This window comes from Homo sapiens, chromosome 7 (assembly GCF_000001405.40).
Source record: "Homo sapiens chromosome 7, GRCh38.p14 Primary Assembly".
Classification (NCBI taxonomy): domain Eukaryota; kingdom Metazoa; phylum Chordata; class Mammalia; order Primates; family Hominidae; genus Homo; species Homo sapiens.
In genome coordinates this window covers 50,543,638-50,566,806 of record NC_000007.14, presented here as the reverse complement: position 1 = coordinate 50,566,806, position 23,169 = coordinate 50,543,638, and the positions used below count along the sequence as shown (strand labels likewise).

General features: G+C 45.4%; 1 protein-coding gene across 10 annotated transcripts in view; it reads left to right on the top strand.

The window, feature by feature from the left end:
- DDC (dopa decarboxylase) overlaps positions 1,402–23,169 on the top strand; it is a 106,964-nt gene continuing 85,196 nt past the window's right edge. For 6 of the 10 annotated variants that reach the window (NM_001242888.2, NM_001242886.2, NM_001242889.2 and 3 more), the window contains exons 1-2: positions 5,736–5,793; positions 22,694–22,922. In NM_001242888.2, the coding sequence (NP_001229817.2) occupies positions 22,722–22,922 (201 nt within the window). In that variant the 5' untranslated portion in view covers positions 5,736–5,793; positions 22,694–22,721. Of the gene's footprint in view, positions 1,523–5,735; positions 5,794–22,693; positions 22,923–23,169 lie in introns of those variants that run through there. The other 4 variants (XM_005271745.5, NM_001082971.2, XM_047419932.1 and 1 more) reach the window with 1 other exon arrangement.

The following is a 23,169-nucleotide window of genomic DNA, read 5'->3' as shown; positions in this document are numbered from 1 at the left end:
CCTCCCCCAGCCCATCTCCTAGAATGGATTCACTTGAATTCACTCCTGGTTTGCAGGAAAGTGCAGAAATCCAAGGAATGTGGTGGGAATTGGTGGTCCAACTTAAAGGGTCTAACCCTTTCACCCTTATCTCCCTCTGATCCATTTTCTACCCCAGAGCCAGAGTGATCTTAAACCATAAGTAAGCTAAGGTTACTGCTTTCTAGAAACACTTCAATGCCTTCTATTACAGTTGGGGGGATACAAATTACGTAACGTGGCTTGCAAGACTCCCCCTCCCCTACTTTGAATGGTCCTTAGGAGTTGGCCTTCTGTCAGGGCCTGGGAGATGCCGAGCTTGATCCTCAGTAACTTTGCAGAGGCTGTTCCCTCTTTGGAGCCCTTCCCTCACTCTTCCCCTTACCAAGGACAATCACTTCTTCGGTTCTCAGCTCCTGTGAGACCCCAGGCGGGAGCATTTGGGTGTGCGTCATTGGAGGGCTCACTTGCCATTCTTTCTCTTTTCCCTCTTTCCTCCAATGGCTCCTGTGGAGGTTTTGAGACTCCTCAATGTCACTCTGCTTCTCTCTCCAGTTCCAGTCCTAACAATAGGAACCCTAGGTGCCCCGCCCCAGCCTGCTCCAGTCCCCTAGGATAGAGCAAGGAGAGCTCTTCCCTGCATCTAGCCTGTGACAAATGGCTCTAGTGACAGCCCTCTCTGCCTTGTTTCCAGTCCTTTAATGAGCTGCCCGCAGCCAGCCTCACTCTCACTCTGCTCTTCACACCCACTGAGCCCCACGCTTGGAGCTGCTGGGGGTCTGCCAGAAAGACCAGCTCCTAAGATCCCTGCAGGCTGTGCCTGCTCAACTTCTCAATGTGGCTTTCTCAGCCCTGCTTTGTGCTCTCATAAAATTCTATCGACTTTGGGGTTTTTTTATAAATTTGTCCAAATTCCACTCAGAGTATTGTTTCATGCATCTCAACTATGATTTTGATGGGTTTGGGGAAGGAAGGTGAGTTCCTGGGTTCTGCTGATATCTGAACCTGGAAATCTTACCCATATTGCTGAGTGCTGCACCGGGAAGTGCAGGCTTACTTTGGGGCTGCCTTCAGGGGCAGGAGGCTGTGTGCAATGCAGGCATCACCTGGTGCAGGGCTGGAACATATCAGATGACTTAATGGGCTCCAAACTTGAAATCAGGGCTGCTTAGTAAAAGATGGGATGTATGTAGAATTACATAAGAAAGATCCAAGCTTCCAGGATTTGGAATGAAACAGTCTCTTCAGAATGTGCTCTCAGGATTCCCAGAGGCGAGCTATTTCTCAAGATTTCCTTGACCTTTGTCACCATCAGGAATTAATGTTTAACTGGCACATGTGGCTGGAAATGCAAGAAGAGGGAAACGTGTGGCTTGGAGTTTCAAGAAGAGTGACTGTCTCAGTGCCGAGTGCCTCAGCAGCTTCTCCACATGCTCTTCAGTCCCCAAAGTTGGAGAATCCCATCAAGGAGAGTAGCCCTGTAAGGAATTCGAATTTCCAGCATGTAAGTCTCTGATTTTATACCTACTCAGATTGTAGTAGTGGAAAACAGCAACATGTACCTTGACTCTCTGGCCCCATGTTACTGAACATTTGCTTAAAGGTTAACTCACTTGAGGGAGCTTGTGTGGTGCTTTCTCTTCTGCTGCAGGCTGGCAGGGGTTTTTGTTCAGTGGGGGCTGTGCACTTGGTGGCTCTCCATGCACACACAGTCACTCCAGTGACACATGTTTGATAGGTGCTGGGAATGATTTCATGACTGGCTCAGTAGCAAATGCGGGCCAGATGTGATTCTATTTTTTCCATGCACCACCAGGGATGGTGTTGGGTATTTTATTCCCCCAGCCTCTGTTTCTTCTGTAAATGAGGATTTTCTTAGTATCTACCTTGTGAGGATTAAATCCCATGATTTTATGGAGGTGATTAGTAAATGTGAACTCTGCCCTTCCCTTTATAACATCTGAGGCTCCGTCAGGGCTCTCTCCTTTTGGTGTATGTTATAGTTTACTTAGAGGTCAATTTGGTGTCTACCTATGCAGTGTGATTTGAGGAGAATTAGAAGATCTTTCCCACCAACTTGCCATGCTGAGTACAATTCCCATCTGAAAACATATGCGGATAGGAATTTCTATTGGGAGAATTGTTCGGTTATCGACTTCAAGGAGTCGAAGTTCTCCTGGTTTTAAGTCTGTTGTCGGAAGTATATAAGAATCAAAGCTTAATCGATGGAAATCATTGCTCTCCATCATGCGTGAGTTAAAACCATTACTTCTGAGTGGTCAGTTTACATTGGGCTCTGTCTAGAAGGTTTGCCTTCTTCACCTCCAGTCACATCCCCATTTCACAAGTGAGCAAACAGCCAGAGGAGGGGAGGAGGATGGCATAAGATCTTGCAGCTGGCAGAGACGAAATGTGAATGTAGCCCGTTTGCACTTGGTGCTGTCGGGCAGCCAAGCAATCCAGTGTGTAGGTCCAGGGCGACAAGCGCTGCTCCCATGGCTGGGGTAAGTCCCTCCAGCATTCAGCCTTGCTCCCTGTGCTTATCTGGATGCGGTGTAGGATGAAGATGACCCTATAGAACTCTACCCTGGAAGTCCTGGCAAAGTGGATATGTGACATTTTTGAAACCAGGGACATGTTGGTGCTGCTTAATATTTAAATCATAATTTTCAGACTCTTAAAAATTACTAAATAAGTTTGAAGAGACACAGCCATCTGCCTACAGTGCCACCCCTGAGCTTCACGCCACCCTGGTCTCCAGGAAAGGGGAGAGTCTCAGGAATATTGAATGCAGGTAAGATGTGGAAGAAGAGCGGAGTTTTCACATTTTAACAAGGTCAATTGAGTAATCAACTCAATAAATAAATAAATTATTATATAAAATGAGGGCTGGGTGCTGTGGCTCACGCCTGTAATCCCAGCATTTGGGGAGGCTAAGGCGGGCAGATCACTTGTGCTCAGGAGTTTGAGACCAGCCTGGGCAACATGGTGAGACCTCATTTCCAATAAAAATACAAAAATTAGCCAGGTGTGGTGGCATGCACCTGTAGTCCCAGCTACTTACGAGGCTGAGGCAGGATAATCACTTGAGCGTGGGAGGCGGAGGTTGCGGTGAGCCGAGATCGAGTCACTGCACTTCAGCCTGGGTGACAGAGTGAGACTCTGTCTCAAGAAATAATAATAATAATAAAATAAAATTATGAAAGTTTTACTCTGCCAAGAATATGTTGCAGTTTTAAAGATACATAGAGCCTTAAATATATAAAGAAAATCTTGGTTCAACTATGGAGAGAAATCAACAAATCCACCATCTTTACCAATTATAGTAAACTGGATGATAGATTTAGCAAACAAAACATTAGTAAACATTTAGAAAATTTCAAAGACAAAAGTAATCATCTTGCTTTATTGGACATATATGGAATCAAATACCTAAAAATTAGAAAATACACTTTCTTAAGTGTCTTAAGTGGCATTATGCAAATGTCAACATCTATCAGAGAACTGCTCTCACACCAACATGTTCTCTGACTGCAATTCAATCCAATTAATTAAATTAGAATTCAATTAAAAAATAAGCAAATATTGCTATGTATGTCTGGACTTTTTTTTTTTTTTTTTTGAGATGGAGTCTCACCCTGCCACCCAGGCTGGAGTGCAGTGGCACAGTCTCAGCTCGCTGCAACTTCCACCTCTCAAGTTCAAGCAGTTCTCCTGCCTCAGCCTCCTGAGTAGCTGGAATTACAAGTGCCTGCCACTGTGCCCAGCTCATTTTTGTATTTTTAGTAGAGGTGGGATTTCATCATGCTGGCCAGGGTGGTCTCGAACTCCTGACCTCAGGTGATGTGCCCACCTTGGCCTCCCAAAGGCTGGGATTACAGGCATGAGCCACTGGGCCCGGCAGTCTGGACATTTTTTTAATAGCTACTGAATAACTCATGTATCAAAGAAAAACAAAATAGAGATTAAATACTATTTATACATAAATGATAATAAAATATCAGCACCTCCTCATACCTGTGTCCCCCTGGTGTGTAGCCCAAGCCGTGTGCAGGGTGAAGGGCACACATCCAGGGAGCAGTGCAGCCCCAGCTCCGCCCTGTAGGAGCCCTGTGCTCAGTCACCCACTGCAGCCCCCAAGCTCCTGGCCAGTCCTCCCTGACCAGGGCTCTTTCTCATGGGTGCATTGCCAGGGGCAAGAAAGTGGGAGTCTGTGTTCCTCAGGACAGAGGAGTTTCAGCTCAAGAAGTGCCTGGCTGTCCAGCTTGACACTGTCCCCTCCCACAGACCTCCAATGCTCACGGCTGGGGCCTGCCTCTCCTCTGTGGTCATGGCTGAACTCACAGTGTTTGGGGGGATGAGCCACCTTGCTGCTGGCTTCTGGCTCCCCCTGGATGGTGACGCTTGGGCAGCTCCCATCTTGCCCTCTGTGCAGATGGGGCCTAATCTCCTTACTGCCTCCATTGTCCACATGGCTGCTGCCTGCAGGTCCCTGCACGGCTGCTGGAGGGAGCTGCTTATGCACAGGCTGAGACCAGGATCCCCTCACTTGTACCACCTGCCAGGTCCCCGCCCTGCAGCCCCTGCACTCATGGCATGTTCTGCTGCCTGGAAGGCCGCTGCCTCTGTCCCAGTTCCATGGGGATCTCTGCTCTAGAGGGGTAGCTTCTTCCTTGAAAAGATGCTGCTTAAAGTCAGAGGATGGATGGCTCTCCTTGGGGCATTTCTAGCTCTGGACTGTGCCACAAGCCCTGGATGTGGTATGTGTATGTGTGTGTATGCATGCACTTAGGTATGTGTGTGTGTGCATGTGTGTGTGGTATGCATGCATATATGCATGTGCTATTGTACGTGTGTAGTGTGTATAAACATGCATGCATGTATGCTTGTGTATGTGTGTGCATGCATAAGTGTGCATGGTGTGTGTGCATGTGTGTGTGGTCGGGGCAGGGGCACCTGCAGGCTGCTCGTCATCTGAGTGGACCCTGTTCTCCACTCTTCCTCCTCTGCAAAGCCCAGGCCCCTTTCCTAGCTTCACATGACTCTGCGTGCACCTTCAGGAGAAACGGAGTCCTGCTCCTTCTATTGCACCCATCAACCAGGAGTGGGGGGAGGGGGTGGAGGTGGGGAAGATGATCCTCCCTGTTGCTGCCCCATGGTGGGAGGAGAGACTGAGCCCAAACCATGTTTTAGATGCTGATAGGCTTAAGGGTAACAGCACAGGAGTTTGAGATGCATGCGGCTCAACACCTAATCTACATCTCACTTCACTTTCTCATCTGGGGAAGTGGGCTTGGGACCCTGAGCCTCCCGGGTATCACAGGGTCCTAATAGTCCCTCACAGAAGGAGCAGACCCAGAGTGAGCACTCCCCAAATGCCACGCCGTCCCTTCCTCACCCTTGGAGTGGAGCCTGGTCGTTCTCAAAGTTGCTGGGAGAGTCCCAGGAGCCCTGGCCCCAAATCTGCATCCTACACAGTGCCTGGGAACACAGGGCCCATTTTTTCCTTGGCCTCTCGCCAGTCCCAGCAGGCCCTGATGCTCCTCTCCATCCTGCTAGGATGGCTCTCTCCCCCTGGGGGCAGAGTGGGGGCAGGAGGTGGTGGGAGGGTGGAGGGATGCTGCTCAGTAAATAATGCAGAGCCGGCAGCTCTGATTGGCTTCGGGGAGGCAGACACTCTGTCTACATAAATGGCAATCACATCTTCTGTGCCTCTTAACTGTCACTGTGGAGAGGAGAGAGAGAGGACAGAGAGCAAGTCACTCCCGGCTGCCTGTGAGTACTGCTCTTTGTCCTCATGGCTCACGCGTCCAGCTCTCTGGATGGCCGTGACCCTGGGGTTTGGGGTGGGAGGTTTGCCGGTTGATTCTAGCTGTGCTGAATTCTCCTCCTGCAGGAGGAAGGAGGTTCGGCTGACAGGGACAGCTGAGCATTCAGTGTGTGCAGGTGACACAGGGTTTACAGGAACTTTTCAAGAAAATAGGCACCAACCTAGGTCGGCTTGCTTTTTTGTGCTATCTGCAAGCAACAGGTCAGGCAGAGAATCTGAAACTTTGGATTGCTTTTTAGGCCACATTCCTAGAGCCATGACAGCAACATAACTAAGTGAGTGGAAATTATTTTCCAGACTGGCTCATGTGCATGTAGAGACCGTGGAGGCCACACGATGGGTGGGAAAGAAGGAGGCTATGCAGCCCCACAGACTCAGGTTTGCATTCAGATGCACACCTCCCTGGCCGCCTTTCCTTCCTCAGACGTGAAGGAGAGGAGCTAATTAACAGCATCCTCCCCCAGATCATAGTAAAAACCAGGTTTGATTTTATAAAGGGGCGGGCACACAATAGGTGCTCAATAAATGAGAGCTCTATTGTGAATAAGGGAGGAAAGTGTGAGGTCACTGAAAATGCTGCTGAGTGGTCTGCTGCGCCCTCCACAGCCTGTTTTCTTCAGTTTCCAAGCGAAATTCAGGCAGGTGACATGGGTTCTTCCCACAAGCTTGTTTCTCTCTTGAAGACTCCAAGGGCGAGGCTCCTTGCGAAAATTTCTCATTCAGATAAGCAGAGTTTCCCCTCCAAAAGGTGACAATCACTGCACAAAAGCTGGTCCTCTGTTGGTTTGTCAAGGGTGCCAGAGAAAAACACTCCTTTTGCTGGGGGCACCGGAGTCCTGCTGGCAGCGTGCGGTGACCCCAGACTAGAACACAGGCATCCTGGATGGCTGACCACAGAGCAAGTTAAGGGGTGTCTGGATGGTTCTGAAGGAAACAAAATCAAGCCATTCTCAGCAGTTTCTTTTCTTCCTGTCTTCTGGGCACACGCTAGGTGGGCGTCTACACACAGCCAGTGTGAAGAAAATAATTAAAATAAATCCCCCTTAACTCCCCTTGCCACAAATTCAAAGAGATAGCCTGGGGGATCTAATTACTTTTGTTTTCTGCTCTTCAAGATGTTGATTATTCTGAAGGTTTTACTTTCAGACACTCAACTTGAGTCAGCAGTTAAGTTTAGGGAACGGCTCTAGGAAAACCACACTATGCGGGTATTTTAAAAGAAGTGTTCTGCGGCTGGGCGCAGTGGCTCACGCCTGTAATCCCAACACTTTGGGAGGCTGAGGCGAGTGGATCACCTGAGGTCGGGAGTTCAAGACCAGCCTGGCCAACATGGTGGAACCGTATCTCTACTAAAAATACAAAAATTAGACAGGCGTGGTTGTGCGTGCCTATAGTCCCAGTTACTCAGGGGGCTGAAGCAGGAGAATTGCTTGAACCCGGGAGGCGGAGGTTGCAGTGAGCTGAGATCATGCCATTGCACTGCAGCCTGGGCAACAGAGCGAGACTCTGTCTCCAAAAAAAAAAAAAAAAGAAATGTTCTGATGTTTTGTGTTTATCTGGTGCTTGTTGGCATTTCTGGAGGAAGACATTCAGGGAGCCCAGAGGCACCTCGTGGGCATATGGGACAGCGATGGGCACAGGACCTCGTAGAAAAGGTTAGAATCCCACTGTGTTGAGAGACAGCAGAGGGTCCTGGTCTTCTGGTTTGTACAGAGGCAAGTGTGAAAGCCATTTCTGAGCTGTGCGGGCTGAGAGGAGCTCCGTGCCTGCTGCATGCTTCCCTCAGCCTCTTCGCATTGCTGTAAAGGGGATCAGGCTGCTACTTTGCAGAGCTGATGTGAAGTTTAGGAGGATATAGGTAAAGGGCTTACACTGCTGCCCTGTATATGGCAACTATTCAACATTTCTTCTGCTTTGGAGGAGGTAGAGGAGAGGCACTTCTCTTGGGGCATGGAGGGCAGCAGAGTTTGTTGAGCCTCTGCCTGTTTCTGTTGGGATCAGCCCAGGTGGGTGGAGGCAGACGTGTGTCTGCGGGCTCAGCACTCCCACCCGAAGCCACATTCCCCTGTTCTCTCATGTGCAGTGAACCAGGCAGGAGCCCTGGACCACACTCTGGGTTGCAGGCACCACCTTCCCCATCCCCAGTGAGAGCCCTGTTTAGAGTCCTGTGGTCTCATCTCTGGCCATGGTGAGGACACAGGCAGCTGACAGTGGAGGTGTAAGTGGATTCCCAGGCCAAAGGTGTGTTAGGAAAATGCTGGCTTCAGAACACCAGCACCCACTCCTTCACTTACTGGCTGTGTGGCTGTGGTCAAGTTAAACAGCAATAACTCTACTGGCCTGGCAGTGTTGTGAGCGTGTTCAGTGAGATAATGTATACCACGAGCTTATCAGGAGCTTGAGCACTGCTGATTTGTTTGGTTTCTTGGACAATAGGATGTGGCAACCAAAGTTCAACAGATTCTCAGGATTTTTTCTTGGAGGGGGGCACCTCAAGTGCAGGCTTCTTAGCAACACCAGGCCCCAGGCCAGCAGCTGTTCAATATGAGGAATAGGGAAGCATTCACTGTGAATGTAGAAGTCAATATTTACCACCAAATTGGCTCATAAGGACTCCCCAAAGAGTGTACCAAAGCATACTAAATAGATTCACAGTGCAGGTGTCCTGTGTTTGTAATAGACGGTAAACCAGGACATGTCATGGGCACTGGATATTATGACTATGATGAAAAGAAGCAACCAACTAGAACATAATTCGAATTGTCTCAAGCCAATAGCAAAGGCAGATGGTTATGATCTCTTGTGAACTATTAATGTGACTGCAAGAGAAAGGGGGAAAGAATTGAGAAAAAATAAGGGAAAAAATTTGTAAGGGGGGGGGTGATTTCTGAAAAGTTTCTTCTGACATAACTCTTCAATAAAATGAAAACAAAGGAGAAAAGTTAAAATTACCTAGTAGTTATCATATAAACTTTCAAAATTAGCAACCATGAATGAAAATAATAAAATTTGAATGTTTTAAGGTTTAAAGTTAAAATGTGAATGAAGGAGCAAAGCTTACAGAGATGGAGTGTCTATGCTCAATGCCTGATGGTGGGTGACATTTCTGTATCATTCCAGTTTTTCAAAAAGAAATTGACAACACGCAAAAAGAACTGTACAACTCACATGTCTCAATTCCACTGGGGAATTAATATCTTTGAGAGACAGACCCAATAGGTGCGACCTATATGGTGATGGTGGGGTGGCATCTACTCATGACGGTGCTGCCCATAACAGCAAACAGCTAACAGGCAAAGTGGGGATGGATGGTGTCATAGGAACACGGTGAAATCCCCACTCAGCAGCCCTTAATAAGTGCAAATAGGAGCGTTATGTTAAGGAAATTCTGCACCTTGTAATTAGGCATAAAGGAAAAATGTCAAGTGAAAAAAGGATCCCCAGTCATACACACATCCTCATTCCAACTATTTGAATTGTCTACGGTCAGGACTAAAATGGAATAATATCAATCAGTTTCATGTCCTTGGCATTCTTTTTTGTCTTTGGAAGTTGCTCAAGTTATGAATTTTTCCAGCCAGCATTAACTAAGGTCACAGCATGGTTACAGAGATATGAGTGGAAGTAGCATCTTTCCATGGGAGGAAAACTGAAAACCAAGACAAACTTCTCTATGGCTCCTTTCCACGGATAATTGTTGGCCAAGAATCTACTTTGACAGAGCATTGTTTATTAAACAGGGAATGAATAAGAAACAGCTGCACAAAGCTCCTTCCTCCTTCATGTCAGCAGAGGAGCAAGGCTTTCCCCTGAATTTTGATCTTTGTTTGTTGTAGAAAATTTCTCCCTTTTCTCTTATGCTACCTCAGGAGAAGAGGCTTCTGCCTGTCTTTTGTAGCATCAATAATAATAATTGCTAGACACAGGTTTACAGTCCAAAGTGCTCTCTGCCTGCATGAGCTTGCGGCCCCATTTTATAAGTAAAGAAACAGACTCAGAGACTCCAAGACGTCAGCCAGCAGCTGCATGCCTCTTGCCGCAGAGCTATGGGCTCAAGCTGTTTTCTCTGAATGCAAATCCACCATTCTTTCTATTCTTCATGAGGAGGAGGAGGAGGAGGACTGTCCTGTGGAATTGTAGTGCTGAAAGCTTAGCTCCACTTGATTGTGGCAGTTCCATTTTCCAACGCAGACCAATCTCGCCAAGGAGGCCAGCTGGGCGGAGTGGGACTTAGGACCCAGTGCAAAGTCCCTTACAGGAGTTCCTTTCTGGACAGAAACTCCCTTGAGATGATGGATTTGATTCCTCCTGAATTTGCACAGGTGTGGAGAGTGAAATGCTATGCTTCGAGCATCTACTTTGTAATTATCTTGTACTCTCTTCATGGTTTTGTGTGGTGCCTAGGATGATGGCCATGGTACAGATTGCAAGTGGAGCTGCAATGGAGTGGACGTGTGTGTTTCTCCCAACATTCCTATGTTGAAATCCTTGCCTGCAATGTATTAGGAAATAGGAACTTTGAGAGATGATTAGGTCATGAAGTCAGAGCCCTCATGAATGGAATGAGTAACCTTATAAAAGAGACCCTAGAGAGACCCATCACCCCTTTCACCATGTGAGGACATAGAGAGAAGGCTATGTCTATGAGAAACAAGCCTCACCAGATACCAAATCTGCCGGGGCCTTAATCTTGGACTTCCAGCCTCAGAACTCTAAGAAATCATTGTCTGTTGTTTATAAGCTGCCCAGTCTATAGTACTTTTTATAGTAGCCCAAAGGGACTAAGATAGGGGGCTTGGCCACGGTCTCACCTCCAGCCAAGAGCTGCCCAAACCCTTTCTCTTTCTGGTTACCATTTGTAACGAACATGATCTATAAGCAAACAAGGCACCGTGGAAGCTGCGGTGCCCCTGTGGTCCTCAGTAGGCATTCGGGAAATCATTCCTTGCAGCCCTAGGAGAAACTGGTATTACAAGTTTCTAATCCTGAAGTTACTTAAGCCATGCTCTTTTCATCAACTGATATGCATCTGGCTACAGCTGTTAGAGATGCTCTGTACCTGTGTTTGAGTCCAGGACATTCTCTCAGGTGCCTTCAGGAGCCAGACTGCAGGAATTCAACTGTGGCCTCATCTGACTACAGCAGGTGTGGAGTCTTGGTTCAGTTGTGCAGCCTCTCTGCGCCTCGGTCTTCTCATCTGTTAAAGGGAGTAATAGTAGTCCTGACAAGGTTCTTATGAAGATTAAATACGAGAACCAGGCAAAGAGCTTAACGTGGTTCTTGGCACATGTAAGTTCATATCAATGTTAACTATTTTTTAGACCAATGAGAGAGTGCCTATTTAAACAAGAACACCCGGGTTTACATAAAAATAGTGGTACAAGTGTAAGACAGTCGCAAGTGTGTGTGCGTATGTGTGTGTGTGGTGCCCTGGCTTTATTGTGTCAATTATAAGTAGAGACACTTTGGCCTACAGGATGAAGGAAACAGGGGTTCTGCCTTGGCTTTGCTGCAACCAGCTTCACACCTGGGACAGTCCTTTCCTTCTCTGGGTCCCAGGTCCCTCCCTTTTAAAATGAGCATAGTAATAGCTCTCACCAATAAAGCATTAAAGGAGCTAAGATGTCAGCCTGTCCTGGGTCTCGTTTCCAACAGATCTCTTGTCTCCCCCACTGACTCCAAACCACACAAGCCATGCTTCTCAGGAACCCAGGACACCCGGATTGTGGTAGGGTTCTGCCAATGGGAGGTTTAGTGGGAGGCTCGAAGGCAGAGGTACCACCATCCCCGTGACACTGGCTCAGCCTCCTCCTCCATGCCTGCTGACCCGGCAAGCCTGACCTGGTGGCAGCTTTGCACGGACAGCCTGGATCCTGGTTCCAGGAGCACAGTCTCTCCCATCTCTCCATCCGAGGGATGGGAGTGCATCATATTGGCCATAGAGGTTACCTGAGCTTCCTCGGTTACCTAAGGTCACCCAGCTAATAAGCCTTGGAGATAAGACGCAAGCCGAGTTCTCTGGATCCAGAGTCCACCCTTCTCCCCCGCAGTGCCATGCTGCCTCCCAGAACACTTTATGTTGCTTTTTACCCATGTGAGGAAGTCTGTGATGTTTCTCTCTCTGTAGTTGAGAAAACTCATGTGCTAAGGGCCTCAGTGACACAGAATCTTCATGACTTTCTGAAGAATGCTGCGGGAACCTGGGGTCAATCATGTAGAATAATTGGCTTTGAGGACCACAGTCTCTGAGAAGAGCAGTTGTATGGAAAGTAGGCCTGAGCACTAACTCTGGCTCTAGTCCCTGACTGTTATCTCATCAAAGAATCTGACAAATCTGTCAGCGCTACCTAAGTCTTGTAAGCTAAAAAAACCCAGCAGTTGCAAAACAGTGGATTTCCAGTTTGTAAACAGATGAGTTTGAGAGCTGTGGAAGAGAAATACAAGTGAAGATAATGTGTCCTAGAAAGGGAGGAAGGAAGGAGCTGAGGAAGCCGGCCTCAAAAGCCTCAAAATGAGGCCACTTCTGCCCAGTTAATAATTTTATTTTTTACTTAAAGAAAATTAATAGACTTTCACGGCAGTTTCAGGTATAAAGGAAAATTGGACAGAAAGTAGAGAGTCCTCATATTTCCCCTCTCCCCCTGCCCCCCACAGTTGCCCTATTATTAATGAAAACATTTTACTGAACACTGACTCTGCAGCAGGCTCTCACCCCATCATCTCATTCATCTTCCCAGCAGCACTGGAGGGAGGTATTTGCATGCATTCTTGCTTTCACAGAGGCTGAGAAGGAGCCTCAGAAAGGGGTGGAGGTTAAAGGTAACAGAGTAACTGAAAGCAGTGACTCTTGACCTCAGGTCTGCCTGACACTTGGTGGTGTAGCTGGAGGCCACTTGTGAGCGGATTTAGATTATTCACGTACCTCCTGGCCACTGACAAAAATGCTCACGTAAAGCTTCTTAGTGGCCTGTTGTGTAACCAGAGTCTTAAGGGTTAAAGAAAGAACTTAGAGGATGTTTTTTTGAGGCAAGTTTATCAGATAGCCATTCTCCTGTGATTAAAAAGCTCTCATGGCTAGAAACTTCTTTATGGTCTTGCTTGGAAGCATTTCTCCTACTGAATATTTTTATGGTCTTTGAACCCACAGAGAAAATGTCCATCAAGAAACAAGTCAGGCTGGGTACGGTGGTTCACACCTGTAATCCCAGCACTTTGGGAGGCCAAGGCAGGCAGATCATGAGGTCAGGAGTTCAAGACCATCCTGACCAATAAGGTAAAACCCCATCTCTACTAAAAATACAAAAATTAGCCAGGTGTGGTGACGCACACCTGTAGTCCCACCTACTCAGGAGGCTGAGGCAGGAGAATCGCTTGAACCTGGGAGGCGGAGGTTGCAGTGAGCCAAGATCGTTCCACTGCATTCCAGCCTGGGCGACAGAGCAAGACTCCATCTCAAAAAAAAAAAAAAAAAAAAGAAAAGAAAGAAAAGAAAAGAAAAAAAGAAAGCAGCTAATCCAGGGGGAAATCAGCCAAATTAGTGTTGTGCCTGGATTTATAAGTATATGCTTGAGGGGGATAGTGAGCCAGAGCCTCAGGCCCAAAAGCTTACGTGTTTTCTGAGACATAAACTATGGCTCCTTTTTACTGGAATAGTGTAAAAAATGTCAACCCTATTTTTTTCATCAGGATGGAAAAGGAAAGTCAAGAGAGGCTGAACAAAGTCTCCAGTATCCCGGTGTTTGCAGCAAAATCATGTCTTGCGTGCATGAACAGGCAGTACCATGGACAGATCCACAGTGCATGGTTGCCATCCCCACTCCGGGCTTGTGAGGAATCCACTACCTCACATGCACAGTGGCGTGGATGGGCTTGCCCATGGTGCTAGGGGCCTGGGCTGCATTCTCTTCAGTGGCTGTGGCAGAGAAGTCCTAAGAGTGAAATTGCAGTGCCCAGACTGCAGGACACTTAGTCAAGTGCTGAACATGGAGGGCTAGATGTTGGGCAGGGACTGAGACAGGAGATGGCACAGGTGGAAGTGGTCAAGACTCAATGGTGGGAGGGGCTGTGGCTCCTGAGCCATAGTGTCTCCTGTGACTCTTCCTTGTGGCAAATATGTGAGGGGCTGGTGATTTGAATTGTCTCAAAGGTAGAGAGTAGAGTCCAATAGGGTATATTACAGAAACAAAATGTCTAGAGGACCAAATATCATTCATTCATTCATCATTCAGCAAATACCTACAGTGCTCTCTGTTGTCCAGGGCCCCTGACTGGTCCTGCAAATGCAAAAATAAATAAGTTGAGGACCCTGCTTGGAGAAGCCCACCATTAGCAAAGGGTGTTATTGAAATGTTGCATTACAACAAAATAACCCCACAGGTCAATCAGGAGGTCTGAGGGAGTTCAGGGGAGTCCATCTCTTCTTGAAGCGTGTGGGGCTGGAGATGAGCTCTGACTGTTGCTGATGCAAAAAGACATTGAGCCAGAAGTCCAGGGAGGCAGCCAGCTCACCGTGCACAGGCAATGCACCACAGGGGCTGCATGGAGAATAGCGCAGCATGGAGAATAGTGTGGGGTAGAGAATAGTGTGGAGAATAGTGTCGTGTGCAGCTGCTGGAACACTGGGCAGTTTATGTCAACAGAAGCTATTTCAAGGGCCTGGAGAGGCATAAGCCACAGCCTTTATCATAGGCTAAGTCTTCCAGCTAATATTTACACAGCTTGGGGGCATAAAATATCAAACAGCTACAAATGAGCACAAGATTCTCTGTGGCTTCATGCTAAGAGCCTTCTAAAAAGGTCTTTGTGGGAAATAATCTGTGAATAAATAACAGAGAATAATTTAAAATATAAGAACCAGGTCTTACTTTACACTTTGACTAGGAATATTTCTTTTGGTGTATGTGGTATGTGTCTGCTTGTTGTGTTTTTTTATTCCAGAGCCACATGCTTTGGCCTGGTGCTGTGACTTAAAGCTGATATCCCCAGAAGCTGAGCGTCTTTCTGAATCTTTCCCAGCTACCCCTTCTGAGTCTTCAGCTTGCTGCCTCACATGTGTGGCCCCCCAGGAGGGCAAATAGATATAGCTAGAATATTTGCTTCAAAAGGCATTGCTAATAGTCACACATCAGGTACAAGTCCTGAAGAAAAGATTATGAGATTTCACTACATAAAAATTGACATTCTCATAGGTCAGAATAGAATTATAAGCAAATTGGGTCCAACAAAAATGAGGAAAATGCCTGCAAAACATTTAACAGACGTAAGAGTAGAATTATTAGTATATTAGAACTCTCACAATTAAATAGGAAATATCTAACACCCTAGTGGAAAAGAATGCAGTGAGCAAGAAATTCAGTAAAAAAGTAATCCAAATGGCAAAGAAACACACGAAAAAGCTATTCAGTTTCATTAGTCAAAGTACAATGGGGCCGGGCGCGGTGGCTCACGCCTGTAATCCTAGCATTTTGGGAGGCTGAGGCGGGTGGATCACTTGAGGTCAGGAGTTAGAGACCAGCCTGGCCAACATGGTGAAACCCTGTTTCTACTAAAAATACAAAAAAAATAGCCGGGCATGGTGGCATGCGCCTGTAATCCCACCTACTCAGGAGGTCAAGGCGGGAGAATTGCTTGAACCTGGGAGGCAGAGGTTGCAGTGAGCCCAGATCACACCACTGCACTCCAGCCTAGGCGACAGAGTGAGGCCCCGTCTCAAAAAAAAAAAAAAAAAAAGTACAACGGAATCATTAAGGCTGGTTAAACTTAAAATGGATATTCAAGCCCAGTGATTGTATGGTAAAATGAGCATTCTTATACATGTTTTAGGGGAAAATTTGGCAATATATTTTCAAGACACTAAAAATATTTATCTCTAGAAGAATTTGTTCTAAATAAATTATAAAATAAGTGTTCTCCTTTTTATAAATTTTTAATGCAAAAGAAAGTGTGCAGAAACGTAAACAAGAGGTTGCACATTTTAGGATTATTTGGAAAAGCTAATAGCTGACATTTATTGAGTGCTAATTTGTTACCATTTATTTATTTAGTTGTTACACAAAGTTCTTCAAGGTATTACGGGCATACCTCTTGTGAAAGGAAAATATCTTAGGCCCTTTCAAGCTGGGAACCACTCAGGGAAAATCTGTCTCCCATTCTATTCAAGTCATCCCTTTGCTCACAGAGATAGATGCATATTTTGATTGCCTTCTTTAGAAAGACTTATCAGAAACTCAAAAGAATGCAACTAACTGTATCTCACCTACCGTGACCTGGGAGCCCACAGCGGGAGGGCCTTGCTTTGCACTGTCTCACCTTTCTGGATGGAACTAATGTACTTCTTTCAAATTGATTGATGTCTCCTGTCTCCCTAAAATGTATAAAACCAAGCTTGGCCACATGTCATAAGGACTTCCTGAGGCTGTGTCACGGGTGTGTCCTCAACCTTGGCAAAATAAACTTTCTAAATTAACTGAGACCTGTCTCAAATTTTCGGTGTTCACACCTCAGAAATATTGCAAATTCAGTTCCAGGTGACCACCATAAAGGGAGTCGCATGAATTTTTTCTCTCCAGTGCATACAAAAGTTCTGTTTACACTATACTGTAGTCTATTAAGTGTGCAATAACATTATATATAAAAAGTATATACCTTAATTTAAAAATAATGTATTGCTAAAAATGCTAACGATCATCTGATCCTTCAGCAAACATAATCTTTTTGCTGGTGCAGGGTCTTGCCTCCATGTCGATGGCTGCTGACTGGTCAGGGTGGTAGTACCTGAAAGTTATGGTAGCTGTGGCAATTCCTTAAAACAAAGTAACAATGAAGTTTGCTGCATCGATCAACTCTTCCTTTCATGAAGGATGCCTCTGTAGCATGTGATGCTGTTTGATAGCATTTTACCCCCAGTAGAACTTCTTTCAGAATTGGAGTCAGTTCTCTTAAATCTTGCTGCTGCTTTAGCAACTCAGTTTATGTAATATTCTAAATCCTTTGCTGTTGTTTCAACAATACTCACAGCCTCTTCAACAAGAATAGACTCTATCTCAAGATGTCTTTGCTCATCCATGAGAAGCAACTAATCTGTCCAATTTTATCATGAGATTGCAGCAATTCAGTCATATCTTCAGGCTCCATTTAAAATTCTAGTTCTCTATTTCCACCATATCTGCAGTGACTTCTTCCACTGAAATTTTGAAACTTGAAGTCGTCTGTGAGGATTGGAATCAACTTCTTCCACCTCCTGTTAATGTTGATATTGTGACCTCTTTCCATGAATCACAAATGTTCTTTTTTTTTTTTTTTTGAGACAGAGTCTTGCTCTGTCGCCCAGGCTGGAGTGCAGTGGTGTGATCTTGGCTTACTGCTGCAAGCTCCGCCTCCCAGGTTCATGCCATTCTGTTGCCTCAGCCTCCCGAGTAGCTGGGACTACAGGAGCCCGCCACCACACCTGGCTAATTTTTTTTGTATTTTTAGTACAGATGGGGTTTCACCGTGTTAGCCAGGATGGTCTCGATCTCCTGACCTCGTGATCCACCCGCCTTGGCCTCCCAAAGTGCTGGGATTACAGGAGTGAGCCACTGCGCCCGGCCCACAAATGTTCTTAATGGCATCTAGAATAGTAAATTCTTTCCAAAAGGTTTTTAATTTACTTTGCTGAAGTTCATCAGAGGAATGACTATCTATGGCAGATGCAGCCTTATGAAATGCATTTCTTAATAAGACTTGAAAGTCTAAATTACTCTTTGATCAATGGACTGTAGAATGGATGTCGAGTTAGCAGGAATGAAAACATTAATTTCCTTGTACATCTTGCTCTTGAGTGACCAGGTGCATTGTCAATGAGCAGTAATATTTTTGAAAGGAATCTTTCCTTCTGAGAAGTCTCTCTCAACAATAGTCTTCAAATATTCAGTAAACCATACTGTAAACAGATGTGCTGTCATCCAGGCTTTGTTGTTCCATTTATAAAGCACAGGAAGAGTAGATTTGGCATAGTTTTTAAGGGCCCTAGGATTTTCAGAATAATAAGTAAGCATAGGCTGCAACTTAAAGTCACCAGCTGTGTTACCCCCTTTGAGAGTCAGCCTGTACTTTGAAGTTTTGAAGCCGGGCATTGACTTCTCCTCTCTGGCTATGAAAGCCCTAGAGGGCTTCTTGTTCCAATAGAAGGCTATGATGTCTATATTGAAAATCTATGGTTTACCGTAGCCACCTTCATGGATTATCTTTGCTGGATCTTCTGGATAACTTGCTGCAGCTTCTCCACTGGCTCTTGCTGTTTCACCTTGCACTTCTATGTAATGGAGACAGCTTCTTTCCATAAACCTCATGAACAAAACTCTGCTAACTTCAGGCATTTTTTCTGCAACTTTCTCACCTCTTTCAGTCTTCATAGAATTGAAGACAGTTAAGACCTTACTCTGGATTACGCTTTGGCTTAAGGAAATGTTGTGGCTGGTTTGATCTTCAATTCAGACCATTAAAATACTCTCCATATCAGAAATAAGGCTATTTTGCTTAGCATTCATGTGCTCACTGGAGTTATACTTCTAATTTCCTTCAATAACTTTTCCATTGCTTTCATAGCCTGGATAACTGTTTGGCTTCACTTTTGACCTGGCTCAACTTTTGACATGCCTTCCTCACTCAGCTGAATCATTTCTAGCTTTTGATTTAAAGTGAGAGACATACTACCTACTCTTCCTGTCACTTGAATACTTAGAGGCCATTGCAGTGTTACTAACTGACCTAATTTCAATTTTGTCACATCTTAGAGAACAGGGAGGCCCAAGGAAAGGAAGAAAGACAGGCGAATAATGGGTCAGTGGTTCAGTCAGACACAAATTTATTAAGTTGACCATCATGTGGGTGTGGTCCATGCTGTCCCAAAACAATTACAATAGTAACATCAAAGATTGCCGACCATAGATCACTATAACAGATTAATAATAATGAAATGGTTTGAAATATTACAAAAGTTTCTGAAATGTAACACAGAGTCATTGAGTGAGCACATGCTTTTGGAAACATTGTGCCTATAGACTTGCTGGATTCAGGGTTGTCACAAACCTTCTATTTGTAAAAAATGCAATAAAACGGGGTGTACCTATACTATTATTGTCACGATTTTTGTTGCCAGTTAAAGAAAATGAGGTTTAGCATGGCAGCAATTTACGCTGGGTTGTACAGCTAATACATGCTGTTATAATAGCTAATACATGCGATTATGATAGCTAATACATAGAATCAGGGTGTGACTCGCAGTCCTTTCTTTGGCTCTCGGTCTCGGAGTGTTGGCCACTGGGATACACCAATGCTTCCCACTGTGTGGGTGAAAATTGGAAATAATATAAATGCTCAACAATAGAGGTACATGTTGTGAATATGGCACATTCACATTGTGAAATACTTGTGAGAAATCACACAATAGAAAAGTATTTATCGGGCAGGTGCGGTGGCTCATGCCTGCAATCCCAGCACTTTGGAAGGCCAAGGCAGACAGAACACTTGAGATCAGGAGTTCAAGACCAGCCTGACCAACATGGCGAAATCCTGTCTCTACTAAAAATACAAAAAAAAAATTAGCCAGGTGTCTGCCACCATGCCCTGTAGTCCCAGCTACTCGGGAGGCTGAGGCAGGAGAATCACTTGAACCTGGGAGGCAGAGGTTGCCGTGAGCCAAGATCGCACCACTGCACTCTAGCCTGGGTGACAGAGCAAGACTCCGTCTCAAAAAAAAACAAAAAAAAAAGAAAAAGAAAAGTATTTATCAACATGAGAAATGTACTTAGAAATTAGTAAAGAAAAACAGGCTAGCAAAAAGATCTGCAGTGTGATACCATTTGAGTTAAAAATTTGAGTCATATTAATTTGAAATACTTCCACTTGAGGTGAAAACCAAGTTTCACTGTATGTGCAAAATTAAAAAAAAACAGTCACTTCAAACTAAAAACTAATTTCAAAGCCTGCAGGCCCCAAGGAATTGTAAGCTGGCTGCTTTAGCACATGGCCTTGATGTTTTGCTGGTGAACAGGACACTCCTTGGTCGTTGGCTTAAGAAGCACAAAGGTGCAACAGAACTTCAGACAGTCATTGTGGTTGTTCTCATGCTTGTTAGTTTGGCATTTGCTGTTGCTATAATCTAGAGTCTAATCTTACGTCTCAATCACTGCCACTCAAGCACTCACTAGCTGAGAAATGCATCCTCAAACAATAGCTTTAACATGGGGGCTGGATCTAATAAGCCTTGAAATGACATAAAAACTTCTGTAACTGTTCATTTAACAGAGAACATGGAAGTAAAAATATTAGAGAGAATGCCAATGGAAGGAAAAGCACATTCTAGCAGGTTTACCTTTGTCAAAGTACCTTGACCAAACATCAGCCAAGCTCCTCTGGCCCAAGGGGGAAGAGCTTAGCCAAGTCTCCTCCTTGGCCTTCTGAGCACAACTTTGATGTCCAATCAGGCTCATGTGCTTCCACTTTTGGTATCTCATCCAGAGTTCCTTTTTCCCCTCCACCCTTGATACTTACCCAAGTTCCTCTTAGTAATTTTCCACCCAGGGACCCTCTCACCTGACCGTTGGCTGTAAGTCCCTATGTGCCCCTGTTGTTTTTGGAATTGAGTTCAGCCCCTCCCCTTTTGCAACATTCTATCCCTATTGCAGTGGTCTTGAGTAAAATCTGTCTTGTCACTTTTAACAAGTGCCTGGTGAACAATTTTTCTTTACCACCTTTAACCTCACAAAAATTGTTAAAAATCCCAGCATGGACAATGGGAAAATAGAGAAGTGCTGGAAGCTGATAGTAAGGTCATCACCATTGCTAATAACAGTGAATTTAGAGTATTCCTAAGCACTTAACTCCCATGGGAAAATTTATCTTAAATTTGTCCTGGAGCCAGCTATAAATTTGAATCCTATTTCTGCAATTACTGGTCATGTGATCTTGGGCATGTCACATTGCCTCTCTGAGCTTCCATTTCCTCATCTACAAAACTTTGGAGTATGAAAAAGATTTGAAAATGCATCCCTATGCATTTTCCTTGTGCCATCCTATGCACAAGACGTGCCTTATGGAGAAAATACATGTGTTAGAGAAGCTTCCCCAGACAGGAGTTACAGTGCTGTTGGCTGTGAGTCCATCCCTAGCATGCAATTGTCTCTCATAAATAGAAAATATTCTAGAGGCTGGGAGCGGTGGCTCATGCCTGTAATCCCAGCACTTTGAGAGGCCGAGGCTGGTGGATCACCAGAGGTCAGGAGTTTGAGACCAGCCTGGCCAATGTGGTGAAACCCCGCCTCTACTAAAAATACAAAAATTAGCTGGGCATAGTGGTGGGTGCTTATAATCCCAGCTACTCAGGAGACTGAGGCAGGAGAATCACTTGAACCCGGGAGGCAGAGGTTGCAGTGAGCCGAGATCGTGCCATTGCACTTCAGCCTGGGCGACAAGAGCAAAACTCCGTTTCAAAAAAATAAACACATAAAATAAAGTAAAATAAAAATTCTAGAAAGACATGTGCCAGAATTTTGGGTTGTGGGATTTTAGGCTTATCTTTTTCTTTGTGTTGTTCACTGTCCTGTTTTGAAAATACAATTGATTCTTATTCACATATTCCACCTATGCAAATTCTCCTACTTGCTAAAATTCATTTGTAACCCCCAATGTCAATAAATATCAATACTCATGGTGCTTTTGAGACCACTCAGGGACGTACATATGTGTAGCGTAGTGGAGAATGTGCTTGTCCGATGCGTATGTTCCCAGCTGAGGCTGAACAAAGGGACACACTACCTTCTTGCGTCAGCTCTCATAATGTAAACATGTCCTTCTCTCTGTCTATTCAGTGCCACATCCTTCACATTTTTATGTTTTTCTTCTTGGTGATTTTGCTGTTTAAAATGACCCCCAAATGTGGTGCAGAAGTGCTGTCTAGCCATCCTATGCACAAGACGTGCCTTATGGAGAAAATATATGTGTTAGAGAAGCTTCCCCAGACAGGAGTTACAGTGCTGTTGGCTGTGAGTCCAATGTTAATGAATCAATATATATTAAATAAAGTGTCTCTTAAAAACACATGAAAAGTTTATGTACTGATTTGTTGACAAAAATGTTGGGATCACGCTTCAGGAAATTGTATTTCCCCTAGAAGAAATGGTTCAGTATTCACTAATTCAGAGTTTATGGCCATGGCAACTGTTGTAGATAGAACACAGCTACCAGCAATAATGAGAATTGCCTGTATATTACTTATGCAAGGAGGGAGGAGAGCATTAGTTTTAAAAAGCAGATGGTGCGTAAAGGTGCAGTTCCATCTGTGACAGAATCAAGAGGAGAGAAGAAGACTAAGTTTGAGGGGGTGTGCTGCCCCAGGCTCTGAGCTGAGGCTCGTGTGCATTGTGTGACTGTGCCTTCATGCCCTCCTGAGAGGTCAGCATCACAGTCTTCATTTCTCAGATGAGGAGAGGGGCTCTAAGGGGCAAGCTTGTCTCTTTCAAAGGCAGGTAAGGGCAGAGGCAGGACTTGGACCAGTGTTTGTCATTAAAGTTGGAATCGATCATGAAAATAAACGTGTGCTTCTAGTCTATTGAAATAAAGCGACGTTGTGTTGTTCCCAGTTGAATAGCTGGTGAAGAGGAGAAGCAGCTTTTGCCTCAGTCCCAAATCCAGTGCCATTTCTACCTCCTACAGACATGGAGGGAAAGCGCCCCTTACTTGGGATCCAAGTGGCCTCCAGGGCATGCAGTCACTGCCCAGGTGTCCCTACCCACGGCTTGCTTGGTATCCCCGCCTTCCAGTTCAGAGGTTGCAAAATTTGCTCACTGAATCATTTTCTTTCTGCAGTTTTCACCTCTGACAGAGCCCAGACACCATGAACGCAAGTGAATTCCGAAGGAGAGGGAAGGAGATGGTGGATTACATGGCCAACTACATGGAAGGCATTGAGGGACGCCAGGTCTACCCTGACGTGGAGCCCGGGTACCTGCGGCCGCTGATCCCTGCCGCTGCCCCTCAGGAGCCAGACACGTTTGAGGACATCATCAACGACGTTGAGAAGATAATCATGCCTGGGGTAAGTGTGTATCCAAGGTCAGAAAACAGGAGGGCTAGAACTCACATAGCACCTACTTGGCTCTGAGCAATTCACATACTTTGTTTCAAGGAATCCCTATGGCAGTCAGGTTGGAGAGAAATTTTGTCATTTCTATTTTACAACTGAGGAAACTGAGGCTCAGAGAGGTTAGGTGGTCCACCTCAGGTCACACAGGTAGTACACGATGAAGTCAGGATTAAAATCCAAATCCAAGGGCAGTGAGGCT